The following is a 27,552-nucleotide window of genomic DNA, read 5'->3' as shown; positions in this document are numbered from 1 at the left end:
TGCAGGGCTTTCCCAGCCAACATTCCTTCCCCTAATTCCTACAGAGAACCTAATAAGTCACTAGCTTTGAGGTGTCTTGGCTTGCTAAAAGTTTAAGGACAGCTAAATTAGACAAAGCATGAATACGACTGAACCTTTCAGGATACCTGTGGGGCTGCTTGCTTTGTTTATTGGTTCATCCATGGAGAAGAGCTAGCCTTACTCTTGCCTCAATGCCACAAACTCTGCCTTTTACTCTGGAGGACAGTCTCCAAAATGTGTGTCACTGATTACAGGGTGACATGGAGAAAGCAGAGTTCGGTCTACACCAGTTTATCACTGCTTCTGACCAAAGGCCAAAGATGTGGCCAGTGTGATGTCATCTTTGTACCCAGAAGCACAGCTCATTACATGTAACAAACTAATTTTATGGAATTTTCTGATATGAAATCAAAGTATGCTATCCTCAAGAGAAATATTGCGATAATCTAGGTGAAATTAGTATTGCAGCAGGATGACTTTCTTTTCTTATCTTAGCTTTTATTTCCCCGGCAATGTTTTCAAGACATGTTGGCTGTTTTCTTTTCCACTCCAAGAAACCAAGTGCCATAAACTGCAATTGGTTCAAAGATAAATAATCTTATTTTGACTTAGCACAAATCAAAACCATATCGCATCATATAAAGTTGCCTCAAATCAGTGATTTTTAGATAAAGTTAATGATGCTTTATGCACACACATGCATTTAACCATTTAAGTCAAGTTTTTAAAGTCTTGTGACCAACATCAATTCCGCAAAGTACTTTTCTGGCTATTGGGATGTGCTAGGTATCTTTTAATTGTTCTTAGAAAATCCTGCTGCTTTGATATTTAGGGTGGAGAGACCGAATAGTGCAAAAACAAACAAAAAACAAGAAAACCCAAAACCAACCACTAATGTCCCCCTTATTATAATTTTCTGACAATTGAGAATTATGTTAGTAAATAGAACTTTTTTCTTTTTGAAGATTTAGTCATTTTGTGTTTTGAAGACATTTAAAAAATCTCCAGTGGAGATACAAAAAGCAGCATAGCTATAAACTTGACTTGATATTATTTTTCTTTGTTGGCTACACCTGGGTTTGCCTTTTTACCTATATTATCTCTAAGTCACACAACAGCCTTGCAAGGTAGGAGTGACTGGGTACATTGGGGAAGCTGCAGTTTGGAGGAATGCCATGGTTGAGATCAGGCAATGATTACCTGAAGGAGCCTGAGTTAAAGATCTGGGTCTCTCTGGCTCCAAAGCCACTAACCCCAACTTGATTTGCTGAATTATCAAATGCCAAGGAGAATAAACATCATTTGTAGAGGAAAGGTGAGAATGATGTGATAGTGTTTGCATTCTGCCCTTGGACCCTGTGGGGACAGCCAAGGCGGGAAGGGTCTTCAGCCCCCTCAGCCTGCCTCTTTGACTCTCTCTGCCTGAGACCACTCTGTTTGGCCTCTCCTGTGATCTTTCAAATTTTGAAACTGGTCCAGCATGAGGCTACCTTGATAAATTCTGATAAAAGTGTCACATGTCTAGGTCTTCGTCTGGCAGTTTTGTGGTTTTTCAGGCCTAATTTTACATGGAGAAAGGCAAATATATATATATATATACACATACACACACACACACACACACGCACACACATATACACATTCACACAGAAGAACTGAATTAGTCACAGAGTTGAGAATTGCTGGTATTTTAAGCAAAAATACCCTCCCATCCTGAAGCAGACGAGGGTTGGTATCTGGATTTTAGAATCTTCTAGATGGCCTGCATTGGTTCCTTTGACTCCACTAGATTTCCTCAATGACTGTCTGACCCCAGTGGCACCTTCCTGGTGCTTCTGGACATGATGTACCAACCTTCCTGGGTATTCTTCATTTCAGGACCCTGGAAATCACACCCTTGTTCCTCACTCCTCCTTGATATTTCTCCTGGCAGTTCAGGTTTCCTGATGTGCTTTCTGGCTGGGAGTTCCCACAGGTGTTGTCCTTCAATGAAGGTCCGTTTCACATACTATGAAGCTGGTTTCTCTACTTTGTCCTTATAATGGCCTTCGGTCATTAGGGAGAATGCCATTTTATCCTGGAGTGCAGGCTAACAAACTCCTATCTCTTCCTGTTTTCTTCATGAACTTATTTTGGGTCACCTAGAAAATTCCCAGCCCCTTCTGAGAGCTTTCAGTGAATCATTTGCGAAGCAGAGAAGATGAGCATGTCTAGGACTAAGCAATTGGGGTCTTCCTAGATCAGTTACTCCTCTCTGCCCACCTCTCCAGGTTTTCTCTGATGACTCATTATCCAGATGGTACTGGAGGAAATGGAAAGTCTTTCCAAAGTATTTTAATGATCCCCTCAAAGCACATGGCATTTTTTACATACCCTGACAGGTGGGGGCTGACCTGGCACTATCAGCTAGACCGTCATGTTCTCCTGCAGAACATAAACAATTTCATAGATCAGCACCATCAGACAAGACCATGCTGTGACTTGTGATGAACAAAGACATAAAACAAGACCATTCTGTAATCATGCCAGGCACTGACAACCACATGAACGTTGTCAAAACCACAGAAATGACCAAGCATCCCCCCTGCTGACTAATAGCAGTGCTCCTGCAGCCTTACTATTTTTCACTGTTGCCTGCTTTTTTCTTCCTGCTTCTAAGTAAATCTTAAGATATCCCATCATATAACTATGGCCACTTCCTGACAGCATCCAATCCAGGTAATCTTTGGGCCCTCCTCCAAATATCTAACACAAGTCCATGTCCTATGTTAAGTCCTCTCTAATACCCTCTTACTGAGACACCCCACAGTTCCCCATGGTACATGTCTTCTTCATTGCACAAGTCAATAAGCCAACTTTATCAACTGTAGGTATTTTCCTGGTACCTTCAGCTGGAGGACGTTGTCAATATCATGACAATATCATAAATACCTAATACTTATTTAGCACTTGCTATGTGCCAGATGCTGTTGTAGGTTCTTTGCATATATGAACGCCTTTAATCTTTGTAACAAATTATGAGATTGACACTTTTATTATTCCCACTTTGTAGACGAGGAAACTGAAGCACAGAGAGGTTAAGTGGAAGTCCTGTTTCTCTAAAGAGGGACATTTCATCACAAGTTCTAGCAGAAATTACAGAACAGGCCAAGAGAACACTTCATTTCTCCATGACCTTTAGGACCAGGGCGACTGAGGGCTAGGCTCATGCCCTTGGGCTATTCCAAATGGGGAGAAGATCCTCTCTACTTCCTCATTTTAAGTCAAAACCTCAAGGGCTGGGGAAAGAGTGAAAGAGTAGGCCAGTTTGTGAAGACTTATTATTTTCTTCAATGCAGAAATATGATCTCTTGGCAAGAATAGTGAGTTTATATAGATTTTTATGTATCATCTGCATATATCCTATGATATTTATTGAGTGCTTTCTCTGTAACAGGCAGAATTTTAGATGTTTACTAATGAATGACAAGCTTGCGATATCTCAGTGCTCATCTCACCCAATTTCTCAGCAACTTTTGACACAGTTGATCTCTCCCTCCTTGAAAAACATTCCTCAGTTGTTCCTGGGAAACCACACTTGCAGCCTGTCTCCCTGTCTCTCTGACTGTGCTGTCTCAGTCTCCTTTGCCTCCTCTTCTTCCTGACTGTTACACATTCCTGGAGTGGCTGTGGCTCAGATTGCCATTGTCTTCTTTTCACCATCTATACTCGCTTCCTGGGGCATTTCATCCAGTCTCATAATTTCAAATAACTCCCGCATAACTGATGCCTTCAAATTAATATTTCTAACCCAGAATTTGGCCATAACTACAGACTGCTATACCAAACTGCCTGCTTGACACATCATGTCACCTATATCCAGTCCATCAGAAAATCATTTCAGCTCCCAATTCCAAATATATCTAGAATCCAACCACTTCTCACCATTTTCACTGGTGTCACTCTACCCCAGACCCCTGTTTGTTGCCTGGATTAGTGCTATAGCCTCCTAACTGCTCTCCCTATTGTTACCCTTGCCCATCTGCAATACTCCTTCCTTTCTTCTTATGTTAAAGTATAACATAGATATAGTGATGTGCACAAATCTTAAGAGTACAGCTTGATTTCTACAGATGTTTATTCCTGTGTACTTAACACCCAGATCAAAAGATAGATCATTCCCAGCCCCCCCGCAGGAGGCTTCCTCCCGCCTCTCTCAGTGCTAAAAGTCACCACTCTCTAGACTTCTATCCCCATAAATTAATTTTGCCTATTTTAACGCTCCTTATATATGGGACTATATGGTATATACTTTATTATGTCTGTTTTCTTAATTCAACATTACATCTGTGAAATTCATCTACATTGTTGCTTGTAGAAGTAATACATTATTTTTTCCATGTTTTATAGTATCCCATTATATGAATACACCATAATTATCCATTCTGCTGTTGATGGTCATGTGGATTAATTCCAGTTTGAGTCTATTATGGCAATTGTTGCTATGAATGAAAATGTGTTCATTCCTCTTGGGTACTCAATATTCTTAAAACAGAGGTCAGATGGTCCTGTTGAAATGTCAAATTACATTTCCTGATCCAAACCCTCCAGCAGCATTCCATCTTTTTCGGAGTAAAAGCTAGAGTTCTGGCAAAGGCCTACGAGACCCTATACTCCTGTACTCTAATATGGTCCATTTTCTAAAAGCATTGACATTGGAGCTCCTTAGAAGTAGAAAATCACCTGTCCCTCCTAGGTCTACATAATCAGAACCTGCTTTGAGCAAATCCCCCAGGTGATTCACACACACATTAAAGTTTGAGGAGCTCTGCCCTTGGCAGTCTGTCCGTTTGCCATCACCCATCCAACCTTGTCTTCTGCCACTTTCTCCCTTGCTCACTCCATGCTGTCCACATGGGTCACTTTGCTGTTTCTTAAACACCCCAGGCATTTCATAGTTGAGGGGTTGTCTGGGCAAGACCTGGTGAGCAGTTTCCTTTCCTGACCCAGTCATAGGGTTCCTGTGTGACCTTAATTTTGTGGTATGGTTTCTAACTTTTTATGCCCATAATGAATGAACTCAGAGGATAATTATGGGTGATGGACATAGGATGACTAACAGCAGGTAGCAGTGATGGGAGGTGGGGGAAAGAGAGCAGGTGGGATGAACAGAAACAGATGTCAGAAGGAAAAGATGAAGGCTGGAGTGAGGTTGAGAGCTCCCCTGGGGCAGGAGCAGAGTCACATTTCTCTTTGGCCTCTATAGTGCCTGTGTTGATTATATGGCCTCTTTAATTGAGGCCAGAATTTCTCAACCACAACACTATTGACATTTGGAAGTGAAAATTGTTTTGTTGTGTGTGTGTGGGGGTCCACTGCATATCATATGATGTTCAGCAGCATCCTTGACCTCTACCCACTAGATGCCAGTAGCATACTTCAATTGTGACAATCATAAGTGTCCCCAGACACTGCCAAATATCCCCTGGGAGGCAAAATCATGCCTGGTTGAGAACCACTACTTTGAGGCTAAAATATCCTAAAGGTATCAGGGAATTACCTGTACTTAAGTTCTTGACCACTGCTGGGCTTTGGTTTTACTCTCATTTGTGTCAACAACTGTAGAAGGTCTGAGATTTTTATCCTGCATGCAGGCCAGCAAGTCAGCCTGCCATAGTTTCACAGATGCTGGTGGAAGACACATGACTCCTGGGTCAGAGAAAAAGGACTTCTTACTGACATCAATGGTAACATCCAGTGCATTCGCATTTTCTTGCATCTGTTCTCCTTGTCCTCAGGTCCCACAGAAGCTATGTGATCAGGGCCAGGAGATACTAGATATGGCAGTGGATTGCATTACATGAGATGAAGTCTGACATAAGGAATCCAAATCCAAATATAAAGAACCAACATTTATTGACCCATAACTGTGCTTTTACTAAAATAATGCTAATGGGCAATAAGCATGCCTTTCCTTTTCTCTTGAGAGAGACACCATCTCTGTCTTCCAAGGGTTTTGCTGTATAAACATCCTAGGAAATATATTCTGGAGGAAACACTGTCAGTGTCTTTGCTCGAAAGGCATACAGAGATGTGGGAGATCCGTGGAGAATTGCCTCTCAAAAATAGACCACAAATTTTGGCTGCTTTCCTTTCCTTTCCACCATCCTCTCTGTCTTGGGGGTTCCTCCTTACTCATGAGACTTCACACAGCAGACCCTGTTCTTCCTTACTTTCTCCAAAACACACAGGTACTGAAGAGTGGCAAGTATGTGAGCCACTGGGAAAGGAAAGTGAGAAGGAAATGAAAAATGGTCAGGGGATCAAAACAGAACAAGACAGGGGAATCTTTTAATTATTCCAGAGTTAAAAAATGATCTTGGCCAGGCGCGGTAGCTGAGGCAGGAGGATCACGAGGCAGGAGGATCATGAGGTCAGGAGATCGAGACCATCCTGGCTAACACAGTGAAACCATGTCTCTACTAAAAATGCAAAAAATTAGCCAGGTGTGGTGGATAAAAGACATATACCAAGATGTCCTTTTCAACTCAAGCAGATGAGAGGCCACAAGAATAACAAACATTGGGAAAGTTATGAAGGCTTAAGCAATCCAAAAAGTTCTTATAATACTTATTTACTGTTTTAATACTGATGGATTTAGAACATTTATTCATTCATAAATGTGTACTGTTGTTGAAATAATATTAATCACACTGTTTCAAAACCTTCCACAGGCTTTCAGTATCACTGGGAATAAAATCTAAAACACTTACAATGGCCTGGAAGGTCCCACATGATCTGCCCTCCCCTGGCCCCACCCACCTCCATCTGACCTCATCTCACCTTGGTGACTTCATTTCTACTTCATCTTCCCTCACTTTGGCTGTTGCTCTTGTTAAATAAAGGTGTAAGCAATACCAAATATCAGAGGAAAATGAATTCACATATCAAAATTATTATATTTTAATTTATAAGTTTCAGTGAAAGACCTTAGGAAACAAGAAGGAAATTCACATTATTTAGGCACTTGCTGTGTGTGAGGGGCTATGCTGGGTTCTTGTGCATCTTTTCATGCTGGTTTTTGTGTGGGGAGTGATGATTTTTCTTCTGCTTGGTTAGTTAAGAGGTAGCTCTGAATTTCTAACTTATGACCCAATTTAACCTATCATGACCTTAGATCTTTTTCATGTCATGTTTACATGGTCATTCTTCCTTTATCTTACCTCTGTGTAGTTTGACTTCTCTTCCACAGATGATTCAGTCTAATCAAGAGCAGTATCTCCAGAGTAGCTAAGTATTGATATGAAAAGAAGATTTTAAATGAAATTTTGACTTTACCTTCTGAGTACACAGTCACAGTCAAAGTATAGCAATGTCATGGTGAGATTTTATTCCTCTCCATGTCTAGCATGAACTATGATATATAGCATGCACTACTGACTTTTTCTTCTTTACTAATGGAAGCTCTAAAAAAACTGTGAATTATTTTTATCAACTTTATCTGAAATTTCATAAAGATAATTTTTTAACTCTGGAATAATTAAAAGATTCCCCTGTCTTGTTCTGTTCTGATCCCCTGACCGTTTTTCATTTCCTTCTCAGTTTCCTTTCCCAGTGGCTCACATACTTGCCACTCTTCAGGGTAGAGTCCCAGGCCTTCCACTTCTAGGGGATCTCCCCCAACAATGGCTTTTACTTCCATCACTTTAACCTAGGGATATATGCTGGAAGTTCTCAAACCTAGAACTCCAATGTGGACCTCCTGCCTGAGTCTCAGATCCATCTATCTCACTGCCTTTTGGAGCCAGGGCTGCCACAAATGGTCAGGCGCTGTGACAGTGGAGTGGCTCCATGTAAATGGATGCCTACACCTGACTGTTTCCCAGGCCCCGCAAATTCAGCACATCTGAAGCTGAAGTCATCTGGCCTTCAAATTGCTTCTCCTCCATTCCCTGGCTCAATAAATGGCACACCTGTATCCACTAACTCTAGGATCCCCAACCCCTGGGCCACGGACTGGTACTGGTCATTGGCCCATTAGGAACCGGACTGCCCAGCAGGAGATGAGCGGCAGTGAGTGAGCATTACCACCTGAGCTCCACCTCCTGCCAGATCAAGGGCAGTATTAGATTCTCATAGGAGTGTGAACCCTGTTGTGAACCGTGCATGTGAGGGATGTAGGTTGCATGCTCCTTATGAGAATCTAATGCCTGATGACCTGTCACTATCTCCCATCACCCCTAGATGGGACCGTCTAGTTGAAGGAAAACAAGCTCAGAGCTCTTACTGATTGTACATTATGGTGAGTTGTATAATTATTTCATTATATATTACAATGTAATAATAATAGAAATAAAGTACACCATAAATATAATGCACTTGAATCATCCTGAAACCATCCGTCAACCTGGTCCATGGAAAAATTGTTTTCCATGAAACTGGTCCCTGGTGCCAAAAAGGTTGGGGACCACTGTGCTTGCTGATCCAGCTAGCAGCTGAGGAGTGTATTGGTTTCCTAGAGCTGCCTCAACAAGTGTGCTAGTTTTAAACAACTGAAGATGATTATTTCACAGTTCTGGAGGCCAGAAGTCTGAATCGAGGTGTGTCAGCAAGCCCACCGTCTCTCTGAAGGCTCTAGGGGAGAATCCTTCTTTGCCTTTTGCAGCTTCCAGTGGCTCCAGGCGTTCCTTGGCTTGTGGCTGCATTGCTCCAATCTCTGCCTGCATCTTTACACAGCCTTCTCCACCTGGCCTCTCTACTCTGTGTGTCTTTTATAAGGACATTTGTCATTGGATTTAGAGCCCACTTGGGTGATCTAAAGTGATCTCATCTTAATATCCTTAATTATATCCCCCAAAGACTTCCAAATAAGGTCACATTCTTAGGTTTCTGGAGTTAGGATGTGGACCTACCTTTTAGGGGCCACCATTTAACCCACTATAGGGAGTCAACCCCTACTCTTCCCTTCCTTCTCCACCCACATTCAGGTTCCCACAGTTCTTACTGATTCTATGTCCTTTGGTGCCCATCTACTTCTTTCTGTCTGTGCCATCCTACTTCAAGGCAACATCAGCACCTGCCTGTCTGAAGTGGACACTTCCCTAGTGGGTCTACCTGTGTTCAGTCCTGTTCCCCTCTATTCCTCACAGGGCGGCCAGAGGGCATTTAAAATGCAAATCTGATCATGTCACTGTTCTGTTTCAGTGACTTTGTGGCTCCCCACGAAGTCTAACATCTTTAGCATGGCTTGCAAATTCCTCCAGGCCTGCCCTCCTTCCTCCATTACCTCAGTCGACTCTTTCCTGTTTTCTTCAGTAGCCCTTGTAGGATTTATTTCATTTCCTCAAATTCACCATGCTCATTCTTCTTTCCAGGCTTTGGCCCATGCTGTTCCCTCTGCCTGAAGTGCTCCCCATTTCTCGCCCCTCATTCCTATCTCCCCTCACCTGGCTAACTCCTATAGATCTTCAGCTTCAACGTCATTTCCTCACAGAGGCCTCTCAGGACTGGTTAACTAGCTCTGGCAGCCCTGCCATGCACTTTCATAATGCCCTGAATTGTGCCTGTCATAACTGTGATGACCAACATTGAAATTTCTTCTTTAATACTTCTCTGCCTCTGCTAGACTAGACTCGATGAGGGCAGGTGCTGTCTTCCATCCTTAGCATCCGGAGACTGCCTGAACTCTCCATGAATGGATGGCAAGTGAGGGAATGAATAGAGAGTCATCATGAATAGTTTATTTTCCAACGATTTATTATAGGAATAATTCTGAATTTCTCTAAGAATAAAACAGGAAAGTTGTGAGGCTAATATGACTTTTTTTTCAGGGTGCACATTTTCAACTGCTAAGTCTTGTGACTGGGTAAACAAGCCAGGGGAGGAGTGCCTTGTGCTTGAGAGCTGGCTCAGGCATGGAGGCCCTGTCTCGGAGCAGACTCTTCCTCTCATGATGTGGTCCCTCTGTGATTTGGTACAACTTAAGGATCTGTGAGGAAGGTATGTTAGTTAAATTTAGTCTGTTGTTTTTGCTTTATGTATTTTTTAAAACTACAATTGTTGGCCATGTTTCTAGACCAACTTCCAAACAATAAAATCCTACTACACAGAGGCAACAAGTGAAGAACCTGCTCACCCTCTTAGCACAGTCTCATCTCCTCCCAAGAGGTGACCCCTTTTAAAGCGTGTTTTAGATCTCTGCATTTACAGTCTCAGGTAGTTATTTATAGCCGTGTGAAAAAGGAATAATACATCCCCATTTTATGTAACTTTCTCATGGCCACACATCTGCACGTTTGTAAATGCAAACTTTGCCTGGACATCCAGGCATGTCTGTACATCCTCTGAAACTGAGGTGGAGGTTCCCAAAGCTCAGTTCTTGACTTCTGTGCACCCACAGGCTCAACACCACGTGGAAGCTGTCAAGGTTTGGGGCTTGCACCCTGTGAAGCAATGACCTGAGCTGTACCTTGGCCCTTTTTAGCCACAGCTGGAGCTGGAGCAGCTGGGATGCAGGGCACCATGTCCCAAGGCTGCACAGAGCAGTGGGGCACTGGGCCTGGCCCGTGAAACCATTTCTCCCTCCTAGGCTCCTGGGTTTGTAATGGGAGGGGCTGCCACGAACAGCTCTGAAATGCCCTGGAGACATTTTCCCCATTGTCTTGGCTATTAACATTTGGCTCCAAACTCCCACTACCAATTTTCTGTATTAGTCTGTTTTCATACTGTTACTAGGTAATTTAAAAAGGAAAGAGGTTTAATTAACTCACAGTTCTGCATGGCTGGGGAGGCCTCAGGAAACTTACAATCATGGCAGAAGGTGAAGGAGAAACAACGCACATCTTTCATGGTGGCAGGAAAGACAGAGAGAAAGGGGGAAGTGCCACACTTTTAAACCATCAGGTCTTCTGAGAACTCGCTCACTATCATGAGAACAGCATGGGGGGAACCACCCACCATGATCCAATCACCTCCTACCAGCTCCCTCCCTCTATACATAGGGATTACAATTTGAGATGAGATTTGGGTGGGGACACAGAGCCAAACCATATTAGGGGATGAGTCATTCAATCCAAAATATTTATTTTGTATCTATTATGTGCAAGGCACTCTTCTAGGCACCAAGGTTATGGCAAGAGAACAAAAGAGAAAAAGATACTTTGCCCTCATGGAGCTTACATTTTAGAAGTGGGAAAAAGATAAAATAAAATTTAAAAGTGAATTATATAGTATATCTGAAGGTAAAAGTTCAGTAAAACAGGGAAGGAAAAGGGTGTTTAGGGGGTGAAGCACTTGGAGTTTTAAAAAGTGGAATCAGTGAAGCCCTCACTGAGAAAATGATATTTGATGATAGTAACATCCAAATCGTAGGATTGTGATTTATGATTAAATGAGGAGTAAATGAGTTAATAGAATAGTATCTGGCACATCATAAGTACAATACAGGATAAATATTAGCTATTATTTTTATTCTTTTTTTTTTTTTTTTTTTAATTGAGACAGAGTCTCGCTGTTTGGCCGAGGCTGGAGTGCAGTGGCGCAATCTCGGCTCACTGTGCAAGCTCCACATCCTGGGTTCACACCATTCTGCTGCCTCAGCCTCCCGAGTAGCTGGGACTACAGGTGCCCACCACCACGCCTGGCTAATTTTTTTGTATTTTTAGTAGAGACGGGGTTTCACCGTGTTAGCCAGGATGATCTCAATCTCCTGACCTCGTGATCTGCCTGCCTCGGCCTCCCAAAGTGCGGGGATTACAGGCATGAGCCACTGCGCCCAGCCTATTCTTTTTGTTTTAAATTGTTCATCCACAGCAAGAATATATCAGAATTTATTTAATCATTCTCTTACTGGTAGACATTTAATTGGTCCCCAGTTTCGTTCAATTACAAATACTGTTTATATTGAATAGTCTTGTATGCATTTCTTTGATCAAATACATAAATATTTTAGTAGGTAACTTCCCGGACATGAAATTATTGGGGAGAAAAGCATGAAGATTTTCTATCACACAGATACTGTCAAATTGTCCTTAAAACTACTGTACTCTTCTGCTTTCCCAAAAATAGTGCATGAGTGCACTCTCACCAACAAAGGATAGTATCAATTTTTATCTATATGAGACTCAAAAATGAGATGTTTGTTGTTTAAATTTTATTTTTCTACTACAAATGAAGTTCAACATTTTTCATAATGTATTTTTTATTTGTATTTATTCTTCAGTGAAATGCCCTTTTTCTATTGGGTTAACTTTATTGGCTTGTAGATTTTCTTTACTATTATTTGTTAAATCATATATATAAATATGATAGGCTGAAAGTATCAGTTTATATTTATGTATTTGTGTACACACACACACACACATATCCACTCACATGTGGCTGTTGAACACTGGAAATGTGACTAGTGCCTCTGAGAAACTAAATTGTTAATTTTAATTAATCTTAATGTAAATATTCAGTATGGCTAGTGGCTACCATGTTGAACAGCACATCTCTGTAGTAACTTTATATGTCTGGCAGGTAAGACAATTTTCAAAGTTTTCTTTTTTTGTATATTTTCCTCTCCAAGGAAATCTTACAATGAGCTTGTAAAGTTCACTAAAGTAATTTCTGATCAGATTTTGATTAGTATTTCTTCCTGGGTATTATATTTACAATATTGTGAATAACTATTAATGGATTTTGGCATATAGAAAATCTGTAATGTTTGTGTGTTGATTATATATTCAACCATTCTGCTGATTCTGATTAGAATCTTGTTGATTCTAATAGTTTGTTCAGTTTATTTTCTTGAGTTTTAAAGCTAGGCAATCATTATCTAGTTGTATTTATTTATACTTTTACTGTACTATGGTTAAAAAAATATGGCCTATGTGATTTCAACTTTCATGAATTTATTGGGATGTTTTATTGTGGCATAATACAATGTTCCCTAAATATTTATAAAGAATTTAAAAATATTTATTGGCTATACAGATACACACATATTAAGCTTGTTGATTTAATTGCTTAATCCTTAATATCACTACATTTTTCCAATTTAACCTGTATATTTCTGAAAGAGATGGTTAAATCCTACCATTATTATTTATAATTTGTAATTTTTTTTTGTATTCCCAACAGTTTTGCTTCATGTCATTTAATGTTTTGTCTGATTTATAAAAAATTCTTAACTCTTCTATCTTCTTCATTAATTATATATGCCTTTTATCAATGTTAAAGTGTACAACTCAATTAATTTACACAGACTGAACATATTCCTTAAGCTGCATCCCAACCCCTTGCAGTCACTAACCCCACTTAAGGATAGCCACTATCCTGACTTCCAAGAGCATGGGCTAGTTTTTTGTCTAATTTTGATCTTTTTACTTCTGGTTTATCCTTTTCTGTGTCTGGGTTCTTTTGTTCAACATTAGGATTATGAGATTCATTCATATTGTGTGCGGTGTTATCACAGTTTCTGTTGGACTCCCTCAGCAGGAGCTAAAACTGCAAGCCAGATAGAGAAAACATGCTGGCACATGAGGGGCATGTGTCTCCCTTCAGAGATACATCTGGGAATAGGGAAGGAAGGTTCTCATCGCTTGGGCTGCATTCTTTTCTTCTGTTCTGCATTACCTTTATTATCTCCCGTTCCAGATGTTCTCTTTATGCACCTTTATCCTTATCTATTACGCTGTTGGTTTCCCTCAAATGTCTGGTAGCCCTTGGTTGCCTGTTCAAATGTATGATGAAGAACCAGGTTGACTATCTTGAGGAGCTGGCATGGATTTTCTGTGCAGTCTGTGGGCCTTTTGGAATGTGCAACATGTGCCAACACAAGAGCTTCCCTTTAGGGTGGATGAGCAAGAAGCAGGCTGAAGAACCCCACAATTGCCAGAGAACAAAGGTTTACTCTGGGACGAAGCATGGTGTCATACTTCAGGTCTCAGTGGTACTGCCTTCTATTTTTTCTTTCTTTCTTGTCTGCTGTCGAAGTGCAGAATTGCCTCGATATCAGCTCTTCTCTTTCAGACCCCATCCCCTAGAATAAAAGCTTCCCCCAAGAGATTTGCCACTTTGGAGAAAATTTGGCTGGGGACAAACACTGCCACCTCTGTGTGTATTGGAATGGAGGGGCACCATTTGTTGTTACGTGGGTAGGTATTAAATTATTTCCAAGCTTGGAGCTTCTCCGGCATTCTTATAGGCAGAATAGTCCTCCCTAGAGTCTGCTTTAGGTTGTAGTTTCTTCTACAGAAACTCCTACAGGTTTTACCATCATTTTGATCCCATCTGCTTTCTCTCTTTCAGAAATTTCTCAACATTTCTGAAAATGTTCTTGCTTTCCAGCACCATTATGGAGATATTCTTTTAAAAAATATTGTTAGCTTATTTTTATATAGATAAATACAAAGGAGAAAAAAATGAATAGTCTCTTATGTCACTACCCAGTAATCCCTGCTTACATTTTTCCTTTTTAATGTATTTTTTAGTATAATGAGTGAACTAATAAATAAAAGATTATATAATACATTTATATGGAAAGAAGAAAAGATTACCATAGTACTATTATTTCAAAACAGCCTTGTTTAATATTTCAGTTTTTTTCTCTGTGCTATCTTTTTTTTTTTAGTTTACTTGTTATCCTCTCTAAAAGAATTTTATATTATGCTTTTTGCACTTGACAGTGTGTCTAAGCACTTTCCAGCACTGTGGCTAGCCTTCACAATGTAGGAAAGTCATTGTAACGGTTGCAGGATATTTTGTTGTATTTCATTACCTCCTTATCCACTGCCCTGCAATTGGACAGGGAAACAGATCTCTAACTTCCCAGGCAGCCTGAGTACAGATTCATTCTGAAATGAAGGCTTAAGGGATTTTATTTCTTTATAAAAATTATAAATTTTTGAATAGTTAATATGTGTACATGAATCAAAATTCTAAAAGAACAACAAGGTATATATTGAAAACTTCCTCTTACCCCTGTCCCCAGCCACCTGGTTCACCTCCTCAGATACATCCATTCCTAGTTTCTTGAATAGTCTTTCAAAGATAGTCTATACATAGTTAGGCATATTGGAATATGATTATATGTATGTATGTGTGTATGTATATACAGAAATGACAAAAGGTAGCTTACTATACCCTTTCTGTACCTTGCTTTTTCCATTTAACAATACCTTACAGAATTTTCCACATCAGGACATGTAGCTGCATAGGGATGATGATGATGATGATGTTGATAAGGAGGAAAAGGAGAAAAACAGTTTCTACTGAGTGCTGATGCTGCTGGAAAGTAGAATTACTAGATCAAAGAGTAGGTGCATTTTAAATTTTAATGTTGTTGTTTCCAAATTCAGCCATAGGGTTGTACTACTTTTATATGCCATTCTCATTAATAATGAAGTCTCAAAACAACCTCAGAGGTAGTTAGTATTATTACCCATATTTTACAGATAAGGAAACAGAGAGATTAAGGGACCTACCCATGGACACAAAGCTAATAAGTGGTGGTGGCAGGATGCAAATGCAGACAGTCTGGTTGCAAGGCCCAGACGTGGCCCCTTCACTGCGCCTCTCCCTTGTGCTGCCTTGTGCAAACATCACCACCCTCCATCTCCAGAACATTTCCATCGTAACCAAATGAAACCTTGTACCCATTAAACACAAACTCCCCACTCTCCACTCCCTCCAGTCCCTGGCAACCACCATTCTCCTTTCTGTCTCTCTCTATTAATTTGACTACTCTAGGTATAAGTGGAATTATATAATTTGTTCTTTTGTGATTGTTTGTTTCACTTAGCAAAACGTCTCCAAAGTTCATCCATGTGGTTGTATGTGTCAGAATTTCCTTCCTTTTTATGGCTGAATAATATCCTGTTGTGTGTATATGTACATTTTGTTTACCGAGTCATCCGTTGATATGCACTTGGGTTGCTTCTACCTTTTGGCTGTTGTGAATAATGCTGCTATGAATGGAGGTGTACAAGCATCTGTCCAAGTCCCTGCTTTCATTGCTTTTGGGTATAGACCCAGAAGTGGAATTGCTGGATTATATGTTAGTTCTATGTTTAATTGTTTTAGGAATCACCTTACCATTTTCCACAGCAACTGCATCATTTTACATTCCTGCCAGCAATGCAAAAGGGTTCTGGTTTCTTCACATCCTCACCAACAGTGGTTATTTTCTGTTTTTGTTGTGTGTTTGTTTGCTTTATTTTGGATAATAGTCATCCTCTTGGGTAGAAAGTGGCAATTTTTTTATTTTTAATGTATGAAGTATGTCCATATTTTCCTTTATTTTCCCTGCCTTCCTTGAAAACATCTTTGCCTCTCTAAGATTATACAAGCAGTTTCAAAATTTTACATGTATTTATTATTTCATTTGGTACATTTAGGGCTTTGATTTATCTGGAATTCATTTTCTGTTTTATTTGATACTGGGCACACTAATTGTCTTCCCCCAAACTGAAAACCAGTGATGCCTGCATTGTTCCTGGAAGCTCATGCATTTTCCTTTCCACCATCCTGTCATTTCTGTGGCTCCTCCCCACCTCCCCCACACATACCTGGGGCCCATAATGAACCACTATTGTTTTCAACACTTCATATCTTAGCTCGCATGTCAATACTATCAAATTAGGCTTTCAGTTTCAGCAAAGGAAGTCAGTGTGACTAAACAACTCATAATGTAAAATGTACATCTTTTCTTATTAAGGAAAAACATTCAAAGGACCAGAAAAGTTTTATAGTATAGAATTTTAATTACATTTATATTTATGCTTCTGAAGTTGACCTCTCATTCCTTATCTGTGGCTATTCAGTTTGGGTTTTTATTTAGCATTACTTTGAAGTTGGGGCGTGGTGAGTGTCTACAGGGATTAAATAGTAACAAATCTAAGATTTGCTGGTTGTAACTGGGTCAAGCTGACCTTTCTGTAGAAATCTTAGATTTATACAAATCAGAACATAATAGCATGTAAAAATAATGACTTTTTTTCAGTTTGAGGAATTAATGGTATTTTCTAAAATAATGAGATGCTATGTTATTTTTGTGATCATATAGGAATATGAATGTTGGAAGTATTATTTTCCAGAAATGGATAACTAAAAATGAATACTTTCCATAATCTACTTTTGTTTTTATATTAAAATCAGGCTTAAATGAGAAATTTCTAGCTTAAAGACTTGCCTAAAATTATTTAGCATTGGAAATAACCTGCACCATGAGTCCTGAAGCTCAGGAAGTTTGGGGACCTTGCCCACAATCACATAATAGAACTAGAATTTGAACCCAATTTCATGTGACTCTAAAGTGTGTGTTCTTTCCATAAGCAAAAAGGTGTGGAGAAGTGAGCATGTGTGGCCTCAGTGAGGCTTGAAGCCTGGGGTCAAGGAAAAGCCTGGCAGGACATGAAGCTAGACTGTTAAGTTGGGATGGGATTTTTAAAGACCATGTCTTGTCTAGGAGCTAAAGAACCACTGAACATTTTTAAGCAGGAAAGCAACACCAGATCATTTTTGAGAGAGGAATCTGGCAGTAGCATAAAAAGTAGATTAGAGGGGGAAGAAACCAAGAACAGAAAACACAGTTTAGTGATCACCTCAGTGGTTCTATTGATGGGTAATGATGGTCTGAACTGGAGTAGGGGCTGCAGATAGGAGACTTGGTTCAAGAGTTACTCAGAGATATTATAATTAGATTTTGCTCTCCATTTCCCAGTGGAGATCCCAAAGGACAGTTAGAAATATAAGCCTACAGCCAAGAACAGTTCTAAGGTAGAGATTTGAATGTAGACGTCATCAGCAAGAAGTAGTGGTTAGAGCCCAGAAGGTGATGCTATTATCAGGAACTGAGAAGACCAAAAGGAGGTGTCTGAGAAGGACATTCTGGGGGAAAGTGAACAAATATGGGATTTGAAGAGGGACCCTCTCTGGAAAAGGCTCCAATGCCTGGCTGTTCTTAGGAGGTGCCTTTTCCCTTTGTATTTTAGTTATGGGAGGGGAGCAAGACTTGCCCTTTTAGAAGAACTTCCTTAGCTTCCTGTTCTGTCCCCACCTTAAGCATAGACAATTCTTTTTTTTTTCTTCTTTTTCTTTTTTGAAACAGGGCCTTGCTCTAGTCACCCAGACTCTGTCACTGCAGCCTCGACATGCCAGGCTCAAGTGGTCTTCCCACCTCAGCCTGCCAAGTAGCCAAGACTACAGGTGTGTGCCACCATGCCCAGCTAATTTTTATTTTTCCTAGAGACAGAGTCACACTATGTTGCCCAGGCTGGTCTTGAACTTACGGGCTCAAGCGATCCTCCTGCCTCAGCCAGCCAAAGTGCTGGAATTACAGGCATGAACCACTGTGCTCAGCCTAATTTTCTCATAGAGCCAAAAGCTTGACCTGGTCTTTCCCAGGGTCTTGGTTCAGAGCCCCAGACCCACATTTGTGCAGCAGAGTAGAGAAGGCCATCCCTCAAGAAATGTTGAGAAAGTTGAGTTTACAGAATGTGGTCATTATTTGGACGTCATGGTTTCTCCCAGTTAGTTCTCTGAGGAATTAGATAAGCAAGGAAGAGGAAGTCACAAGGTCCATGGAAGGCTTAATTTCAGAGAGTGGTAGTCGCTAAAATTACACACTACAGTGGATAGGGGCATAAAATGCTGGTGAGAAATTGGAGGCAATGAGTATACAGGCTCTTTCAAAGAGATTTAAACGGAATAATTTGGGTCAGTCTATACCCCAGATCAACTTAGAGCTCATTATATGTGCCTTTTTTAAATTCTTGCACTAATTATATAGAAAGGTGAAGGATTTTGAGATGGCAATCAGATACACTGTCCATTCCACCCCAATTTTCCATATTAACGTGATTATTGCAAGTAGACGGCAAACTTTGGCTTTGGAGCAGGCAGGCCTGGGTTTGAATTCCAGATCTGTCACTTAATAACTGTGACCACGGGGAAAATCACTCAAATTCTGATCCCTAGTTTCCTCAGCTGTAAACTGAGATAATACCTTCAGTGGCAGGTAATACTAGTTGGATTCCATTCCAACTCCCTAATAGCATGCCTGCCTATACAACAGAGGCTAGAAAGCCACAGAGAACATTTCCAGACTCCCTCGCACCTGGGTTTTACATCTGACCTGGTTCTGCCAAGTAGGCACCCCTGAAGGAGACTTGGGAGGTGGAAGTGGGCAGTGAAAAGCTTCGAGACGACATTAGCTCTTGTAAGCACAGTAGCAGAGGTGACATTTCAATATTTAGTCCTGAGCACCTGTGGCAGGAGGCAGTAGCTGTGGAGTTCCCCTAGGAGAATCCCACGTTCTGGCTGAACATTTCTCCAGAATGGCTGCATCATTCCTGATAATGTAGAGTGCAAACTTACTTCCATGCTCCCCCAGAAATTCTGTAATTGCCAGATACCCTGAAATCAATCTTGTTCTGTTCAAACTACTGTTTAGGATGGATTCCATTGTCTGCAACTCATAGACTAACCTCATAGGGTTTGGGGGAAGATTAGGCATATTAGAATATGAATATATGTAACTTGCATATACTGTGCACATGGTGAGCCACATTATTATTTTTATTAGTGCATCACCTGTTGTAATAAAATCAAGCATGCTGCAATTTCTTAAGAATTTTCTTTGAGAGACTGAGGTGAGCAGATCACGAGGTCAAGAGATCGAGACTATCCTGGCCAACATGGTGAAACCCCATCTCTATAAAAATACAAAAATTAGCTGGGCGTGGTGGTGTGTGCCTGTAGTCCCAGCTACTTGGGAGGCTGAGGCAGGAGAATTGCTCGAACCCAAGAGGCGGAAGTTGCAGTGAGCCAATATCGCGCCACTGCACTCCAGCCTGGGAGACAGAGCGAGACTCCATATCAAAAAAAAAAAAAGGATTTTCTGATATTGTTTTTTGCAGCACGTCTTGGTTCCAAGATTCTTAGGTATCCTAATTATTATAGAGTATAATACTTAGGTATCCTAAGTATTGTAGAATAGAGGTCTTTTGTGCACTGTTGGGAATGACATAGTGGAATATTAGCTATCATACTATGAAATATGTACTCTTTAAAATGAGGAAATACAGGATAAATGAAAACACCCTTATTGTTTTTACTCAATAGACAATCTGGAATTGTCTTCAACTTCAGTTGACAGTGCTAATAACTTACCAGACACTGTTAGGAGCTGTGACTTTCAAGAATTTTAGATAATGGTTGAGAAGTTGTATTAGTCCATTTTCACGCTGCTGATTTCACCTGAGACTGGGGAGAAAAAGAGGTTTAATTGGGTTTACAGTTCCGCATGGCTGGGAAGGTCTCAGAATCCTGGCAGGAGACAAAAGGCACTTCTTTCCTGGCGGTGGCAAGAGAAAATGAGGAAGAAGCGAAAGCGGAAACCCCTGATAAACCCATCAGATCTCGTGAGAGTTATTCGCTGTCATGAGAATAGCATGGGAAAAACTGGCCCCCATGATTCAATTACTTCCACCTGGTTCCCTCCCACAACATGTGAGGATTGTGGGAGATACAATTCAAGTTGAGGTTTGGGTGGGGACACAGCCAAATCATATCAGAAGTGGATGGTCTTTTGTTGTTTCTTTCCTAGGTTCTGTCAGCTGCTCAACTTACTGGCATCTTCTGATCTTTTTAGAAAAAGTCTAAATATTTATTTTGGAATCTACCTCTTAATACGGCATTTGGCATAAAACACAGGTTTTTGCCAAACTGAAATTCTCATTTTTACATATGGCAACCTTATTGTTTATAATAAGATGTTACATGTACGCGTAAGAATGGATGTAATTATGTTGTAATCTTTATTGGAAGATATATAATAAGATGCTGTTACCACAGCTTTTAAGCCTTTGAATAATACTACAACTTGGTTAGTATTCAATTATTTTTATAAGTTATTGATAAAGGGGGACTTTTTTTCTTAAGGCAAAAAGAACTTCAAATTACTACTGATTTCCTCATTGAGATTCTTCCTAGACTGGACATTGAACATTTAACATATCCGTCAAGCAAGTTAAGGTTAAATGCCACTTGCCACAGCTTTCATTATGGCTGCTTTGTTTTAACAATGTTAGTTTATGTTTTGTTTTTACCTGAAACATCGATTTTCTTTTGGTTTAGAAGGTATTAATAATGTTTCTATTAAGTTAACAAAGGCATAGATAAATATAAAATACTCTCATTTCGGATAAAAACAAAACAAAAACAGGTCTACATGACCTTTTGTGGTAGAACATGTAGAATAACTTTTTGGCAAATAAAAGTTTTGCAAATAAAAACCAAACTTTTCTGTCATGTGAATATACTGTGCATAAATTAAAATGTCATTGGAAACTAAAACATAGTAGTAAACTGATTTGTTTCTCAGAGTTGGCCTAATTATTTCTCAAAAATAGGGAAGGCTCCAGTAAATATGAAATTAAAACTGCAATAAGAATGATTTTGGATAATGTCATTGCCTTTGTGTTATACAATGTTTTGTGTGTCCAAATGAAATTTAATAACTTTACTATTTTATTAAGGGGAAAATTGTATTAAATAGTCTGTGGACCTTTACATAATTGCCTCTTTGGAAACTCAACAGATTGACAAATTACTGAGGTCAGTAATTTTGTGGCTGTTCTTAATATTTTTTAAACAAAGAAATTGAAGAATGAAAATACACAGGAAAGAGCTGATGTAACAATTTTATGAATGTGTTTAGAATGTGGTTCCTCCTGCTATGATATGCTAGCTTCCTTTTATGTTTTTTATTTTTATTTTTACTTTTATTTTTATTTTTTATTATACTTTAAATTCCGGGATACATGTGCAGAATGTGCAGGTTTGTTACATAGTGCCATGGTGGTTTGCTGCACCCATCAACACGTTATCTACATTAGGTATTTCTCCTAACGCTATCCCTCCCCTAGTCCCCCTACCCCATGACAGGCCCTGGTGTGTGATGTTCCCCTCCCTGTGTCCATTTGTTCTCATTGTTCAACTCCCACATATGAGTGAGAACATGTGGTGTTTGGTTTTCTGTTCCTGTGTTAGTTTGCTGAGAATGATGGTTTCCAGCTTCATCCATGTCCCTGCAAAGGACATGAACTCATCCTTTTTTTATGGCTACACAGTATTCCATTGTGTATATGTGCCACATTTTCTTTAGCCAGTCTATCATTGATGGGCATTTGGGTTGGTTCCAAATCTTTGCTATTGTGAACATCGCTGTAATAAACATATGTGTGCATGTGTCTTTATAGTAATTTATAATCCTTTGGGTATATAACCAGTAATGGGATTGCTGGGTCAAATGGTATTTCTGGTTCTAAATCCTTGAGGAATCACCACACTGTCTTCCACAATGGTTGAACTAATAATCTACACTCCCACAACAGTGTAAACGCGTTCCTATTTCTCCACATCCTCTCCACCATCTGTTGTTTCCTGACTTTTTAATGATCACCGTTCTAACTGGCATGAGATGGTATCTCATTGTGGTTTTGATTTGCATTTCTCTAATGACCAGTGATGATGAGCATTTTTTCATATGTTTGTTGGCTGCATAAATGTCTTCTTTTGAGAAGTGTCTATTCGCCCACTTTTTGATGGAGTTCTTTTTTTCTTGTAAATTTAAGTTCTCTGTAAATTCTGGATATTAGCCTTCGTGAGAGGAGTAGATTGCAAAAATTTTCTCCCATTCTGTAGTTGGTCTGTTCACTCTGATGATAGTTTCTTTTGCTGTGCAGAAGCTCTTTAGTTTGATGAGATCCAATTTGTCAATTTTGGCTTTTGTTGCTATTGCTTTTGGTGTTTTAGTCATGAAGTCCTTGCCCATGCCTATGTCCTGAATGGTATTGCCTAGGTTTTCTTCTAGGGTTTTTATGGCTTTAGGTCTTACGTATAACTCTTTAATCCATCTTGAGTGAATTTTTGTGTAAGGCATAAGGAAGGGGTCCAGTTTCAGTTTTCTGCATATGGCTAGCCAGTTTTCCCAACACCATTTATTGAATAGGGAATCCTTTCCCCATTGCTTGTTTTTGTCAGGTTTGTCAAAGATCAGATGGTTGTAGATGTGTGGTGGTATTTCTGAGGGCTCTGCTCTGTTCCATTGGTCTATATATCCGTTTTGGTATCTTTATTTTTTATAATTTCAACTTTTGTTTTAGATTCAGGGGGTGCAGGTTTATTATGTGTGGCGCTGAAGTTTGGGGTACGAATGATTCCATCACCCAAATGGTGAGCATAGAACCCAACAGGTAGTTTTTCATCACTTGCTTCCCTCCCCCTCTACCCCTTCTAGTAGTCCTTGGTGTCTATTGTTGCCATCTTTATGTCTATAGTTACCCAGTGCTTAGCTGCCACTTACAAGTGAGAACATGAGTTATTTGGCTTCCTGTTCCTTTGTTAATTCACTTAGGATAATGGCCTCCAGCTGCATCCATATGGCTGCAAAGGATATGATTTAATTCCTTTTTATGGCTGCATAGTATTCCATGATGTATATGTACCACGTTTTCTTTCGCCAATCCACCATTGATGGGCACCTAGGTTGATTCCATGTCTTTGCTATTGTGAATAGTGCTGCGATGAAAATATGAGTAGATACGTCTTTTTTGTCAAATTATTTATTTTCTTTTGGATATATACCCAGTAATGGGATTGCTGGGTCAAATGGTCATTCTGTTTTAAGTTCTTTGAGAAATCTCTAAACTGCTTTCCACAGTGACTGAATTAATTTACATTCCCACCAACAGTGTAAGCATTCCCTCTTCTCTGCAGCCTTGCCAGCATCTGTTATTTCTTATCTTTTTAATAGCCATTCTGACTGGTGTGAGATGGTATCTCATTGTAGTTTTGATTCACATTTTCCTGATTATTGTTGTTGAACATTTTTTCATATGCTTGTTGGCCAAGCATATGTCTTCTTTTGAGAAGTGTCTGTTCATGTCCTTTGCCCACTTTTTAATGGGATTATTTGGTTTTTGCTTATTGAGTTGTTTAAGTTCCTTATAGATTCTGGATACTAGACCTTTGTCAGATATATAATTTGCAAATATTTTCTCCCATTCTGTAAATTGTTTACTCTGTTGATAGTTTTGTTGTTGTTGGGCAGAAGCTCTTTAGTTTAATTAGGTAACATTTGTCAATTTTTGTTTTTGTTGTCATTGCTTTTGAGGACCTAGTCATAAATTCTTTGCCAAGATCAATGTCCCGAATGGTTTATTTCAGGTTTTATTCTAGGATTTTCATAGTTTAAGGTTTTCCACTTAAGTCTTTAATCCATTTTGAGTTAAGTTTTGTATATGGTGATAGGTAGGGGTCCATTTTCATTCTTCTGCATATAGCTAGGAAGTTATCCCAGCACCATTTATTAAATAGGGAATCCTTTCCCTGTTGCTTATTTTTGTCAGCTTTGTTAAAGATCAGATGGTTGTAGGTATGTGGCTTTATTTATGAATTCTCTATTCTTTTCCATTGGCATACGTTTCTGCTTTTGTACTAGTACCATGCTGTTTTGGTTATTATAGCCCTATAGTGTAAAGTCAGGTAGTGTGATGCCTCTGGCTTTGTTCTTTTTGCTTAGGATTGCTTTATCTATTTGGACTTTTTTTGGTTTCATATGAATTTTAGAAAAGTTTTTTTTCTAGTTCTGTGAAGAATGATGTTGGTAGTTTGATAGGAATAGCACTTAATCTGTATTTTACTTTGGGCAGTATGGCCATTTTAATGATATTGATTCTTCCAATTCATGAGCGTGGAATGTTCTTTCATTTGTTTGTGCTGTCTCTGATTTCTTTCATTCCTAGGGGTGTGTGTGTGTGTGTGTGTGTGTGTGTGTGTGTGTGTATGTGTGTGTATCTGTCTGTCTGTTGTAAATGGGATTGCATTCTTGATTTGGCTCTCAGCATGACCATTATTGGTGTGTAGAAATGCTACTAATTTTTGTTTGTTGATTTTGTATCTTGAAACTTTACTGAAGTTGTTTATTAGGTCTATTTATTAGGGGTAGGAGCCTCTTGGCAGCATCTTTAGGTTTTCCTAATATAGAATCATATTCAGTGAGGAGGGATTATTTGACTTGTTTTTCCATTTGGATGCCTTTTATTTCTTTCTCTTGCCTGATTGCTCTGGCTAGGACTTCCAGTACTACATTGAATAGCAGTGGTGAGAGGGGGCATCCTTGTTTTGTTCTAGTTTTCAAGGGGAATGCTTCTAGCTTTTTCACATTCAGTGATGTTGTCATAGGCTGTGAGTTTGTCATAGATGGCTCTTATTATTTTGAGATATGTTCCTTCGATGCCTAGTTTGTGGAGCGTCTTATGTGCTCTCTTTGAAATTAATTGTGGTTCTCTAATTGTTAAACTAGCATCAGATAAGCCTGTAAAATCCTCAGAGTGTGAAGTTATAATCAGGAACATTTTGATTTCAAATTATTCTGTAGAGCAGTATCAAAAGGTCCAGAGATAAGAAAATTATTATTATAAAAGGTCTACATTTCTTTTAAAATACGATAAAGAATTTTGTATTTAGGATTTGTGTTAACAACCATTAAGAGAACTTGCTGCACATGTTCTGTTTTGCTTTTATTTGTTGTTTTTAATGTCAGTAATTGGGAAGGAAGGTTGAAAATGAATGTACACATAGTTAAAGGATGCCAATTATTGGTAAGTTAACAATTGCATTAATTCATTTATCCCTTTATGGTTATTGAAAAATTTGACAGTCAAGTTTATTAATTTGATTTTTAAGATGTGTGCAGATATAGACCTATGAATTTAAACATAATCTTATGAAATTTAGAATAGTTAATAACATTTTAATTGATAATTAACATTATAGATCAAAATATCTTTCATTAGAATGTTTTGCTCATGGAGAGAGTCTGCATGGAATTTTTTCTCACTCTAGGCCCATAGTTTATCACAGATACACAACCTTGCTGATTTTCATAATTTATCTATGAAAGATGGACAAGATTGCCTTTATTCTTAACAGTAAGGGAACCGACTCAGAATATAATATTTGTTCATGACTAGTTTTTTAAATATACTTAAATTTGAGAGTAGTTTTAGGTTTTTAGAAAAGGCATATAGAATTCCTGAATACCCTACATTCTTTGTGCCCTGCTGTTAACATCTTACCATTACCATGGCACATTTGCCACAAATAAGAAACTAACATTGATCCATTACTATTCAATACATCCCACGTTCAGATTTCATTTGTTTGTCTCTAATGTTCTTTTTCTGTCCCAGAATCTCACCCAGGATGCCACATGACATTTAGTCTTCTTGTCTCTTTAGCTTCTTCATCCCTCACGCTGCCCTTTCATACTGTTTTCATTGGGAGCAAGTAACTAAGCAAAGCCCAAGATCAAGGGGTGGGAGTTAAGCTCCACTTCTTTGAAGAGGGAGGAGGAGTATGTATATAAATGAGTTGGAATTCTTCTGTACAGGATATTTGTCTCTTCTCCATTTATGTTAGTATAGGCTTATGGATATTTATTTTGTACTTTAGGTTATAATCCAACACTATGTTATTTATTTTGCTGATAAAATTGTTCCAGCTTTGGACATTAGGAGCTCTTTCAGATTGACCCCTGTGTCCCTTTGACATACTCCATCATCATTATTATTATTTTAGTATCTCTTGACTTTCTGGCACTATAAGATTCTGTAGGCTCCTCTTATACATTTCTTGCCCCAGTCCTAGGCCAGCTATTTCTCTAAGGAGCCCTGGTTTATTTATTTATTTTTTTTTGGAGAGTAGAAATCATGTCTGGGTGTTTCTGGGTGTTAGGTATGCTTGTTTGCAAGGGGTTGTTATTGCCTCTATGCCCTGTCAGTGGACAGAGCTGAGAAAATGTATGTACTTACACTAAGCCATGAATGCCTAATCTATGCATGCATATAGATATGCATATCTATAATTTCATCCTTGTCTATGTCTGTATCAAGCACTAAGCATGAGTTCATACGGATGTCATTGGCTCTAATCCAGTACCACATGGTTCATTCTAGTCTTTTCCTCTTGCTTGTTTGTAATCTCCCTGTTTAATAATAAGAAACCTGGCTTCCACCATCTTCTGTCAATTTACTTGTTGCTCATCTCCAGTAGACATGTAAAGCAGTTTCAGAATTGTTAATCTGTAACTCGTGAGAGACAGTTTTACTCACTAGAGTACAGTGTTTATGTATAGTCCTTTGTCTTTAGTTTTACAGTTTTTAGTCAAAATACCATTTTCCAAAGATAGATCAGTTCTTTTCCCCCAACCCTTCATTGAGGTTGTGCCACACATTTGTAGCACAGTCAGATTATTTTGTCACAGTCCCCATTCCATCTTGTGCATCCCTTGCCCTTTTGGCTGATTTGTAAAATTTGTATGCACTAAGGTTCACTCTGTGCTGTAAAGTTTTATGAGTTTTGACAAATGCAGAATGTCATGTATCCACCACGATAGTACCATACAGATTAACTCCATCACCCTGAAAGCCCCTCTGCTCACAATCTTTTGAGAGTTCCCAGGTAATCTCTTTCAGGTTGATATCTCAGGTTGATCTTTTGTGG

At 39.3% G+C, this 27,552-nt stretch overlaps 1 protein-coding gene across 4 annotated transcripts in view; it reads left to right on the top strand.

Annotated features, from left to right (window-relative positions):
* Nucleotides 1-27,552, top strand: part of PLGRKT (plasminogen receptor with a C-terminal lysine) — an 80,407-nt gene that overhangs the window by 46,516 nt on the left and 6,339 nt on the right. The window contains exon 1 of one of the 4 annotated variants that reach the window (XM_005251512.5): nucleotides 9,842-9,999. The exons of the other annotated variants lie outside the window; for them this stretch is intronic. The gene's annotated coding sequence lies outside the window, so the exon portion shown is untranslated. Of the gene's footprint in view, nucleotides 1-9,841; nucleotides 10,000-27,552 lie in introns of those variants that run through there. 4 annotated transcript variants of the gene reach the window in all.

The sequence above is a fragment of the Homo sapiens genome, chromosome 9 (genome assembly GCF_000001405.40).
Source record: "Homo sapiens chromosome 9, GRCh38.p14 Primary Assembly".
Taxonomy (NCBI): domain Eukaryota; kingdom Metazoa; phylum Chordata; class Mammalia; order Primates; family Hominidae; genus Homo; species Homo sapiens.
This window is presented reverse-complemented; position numbering and strand designations above follow the sequence as displayed.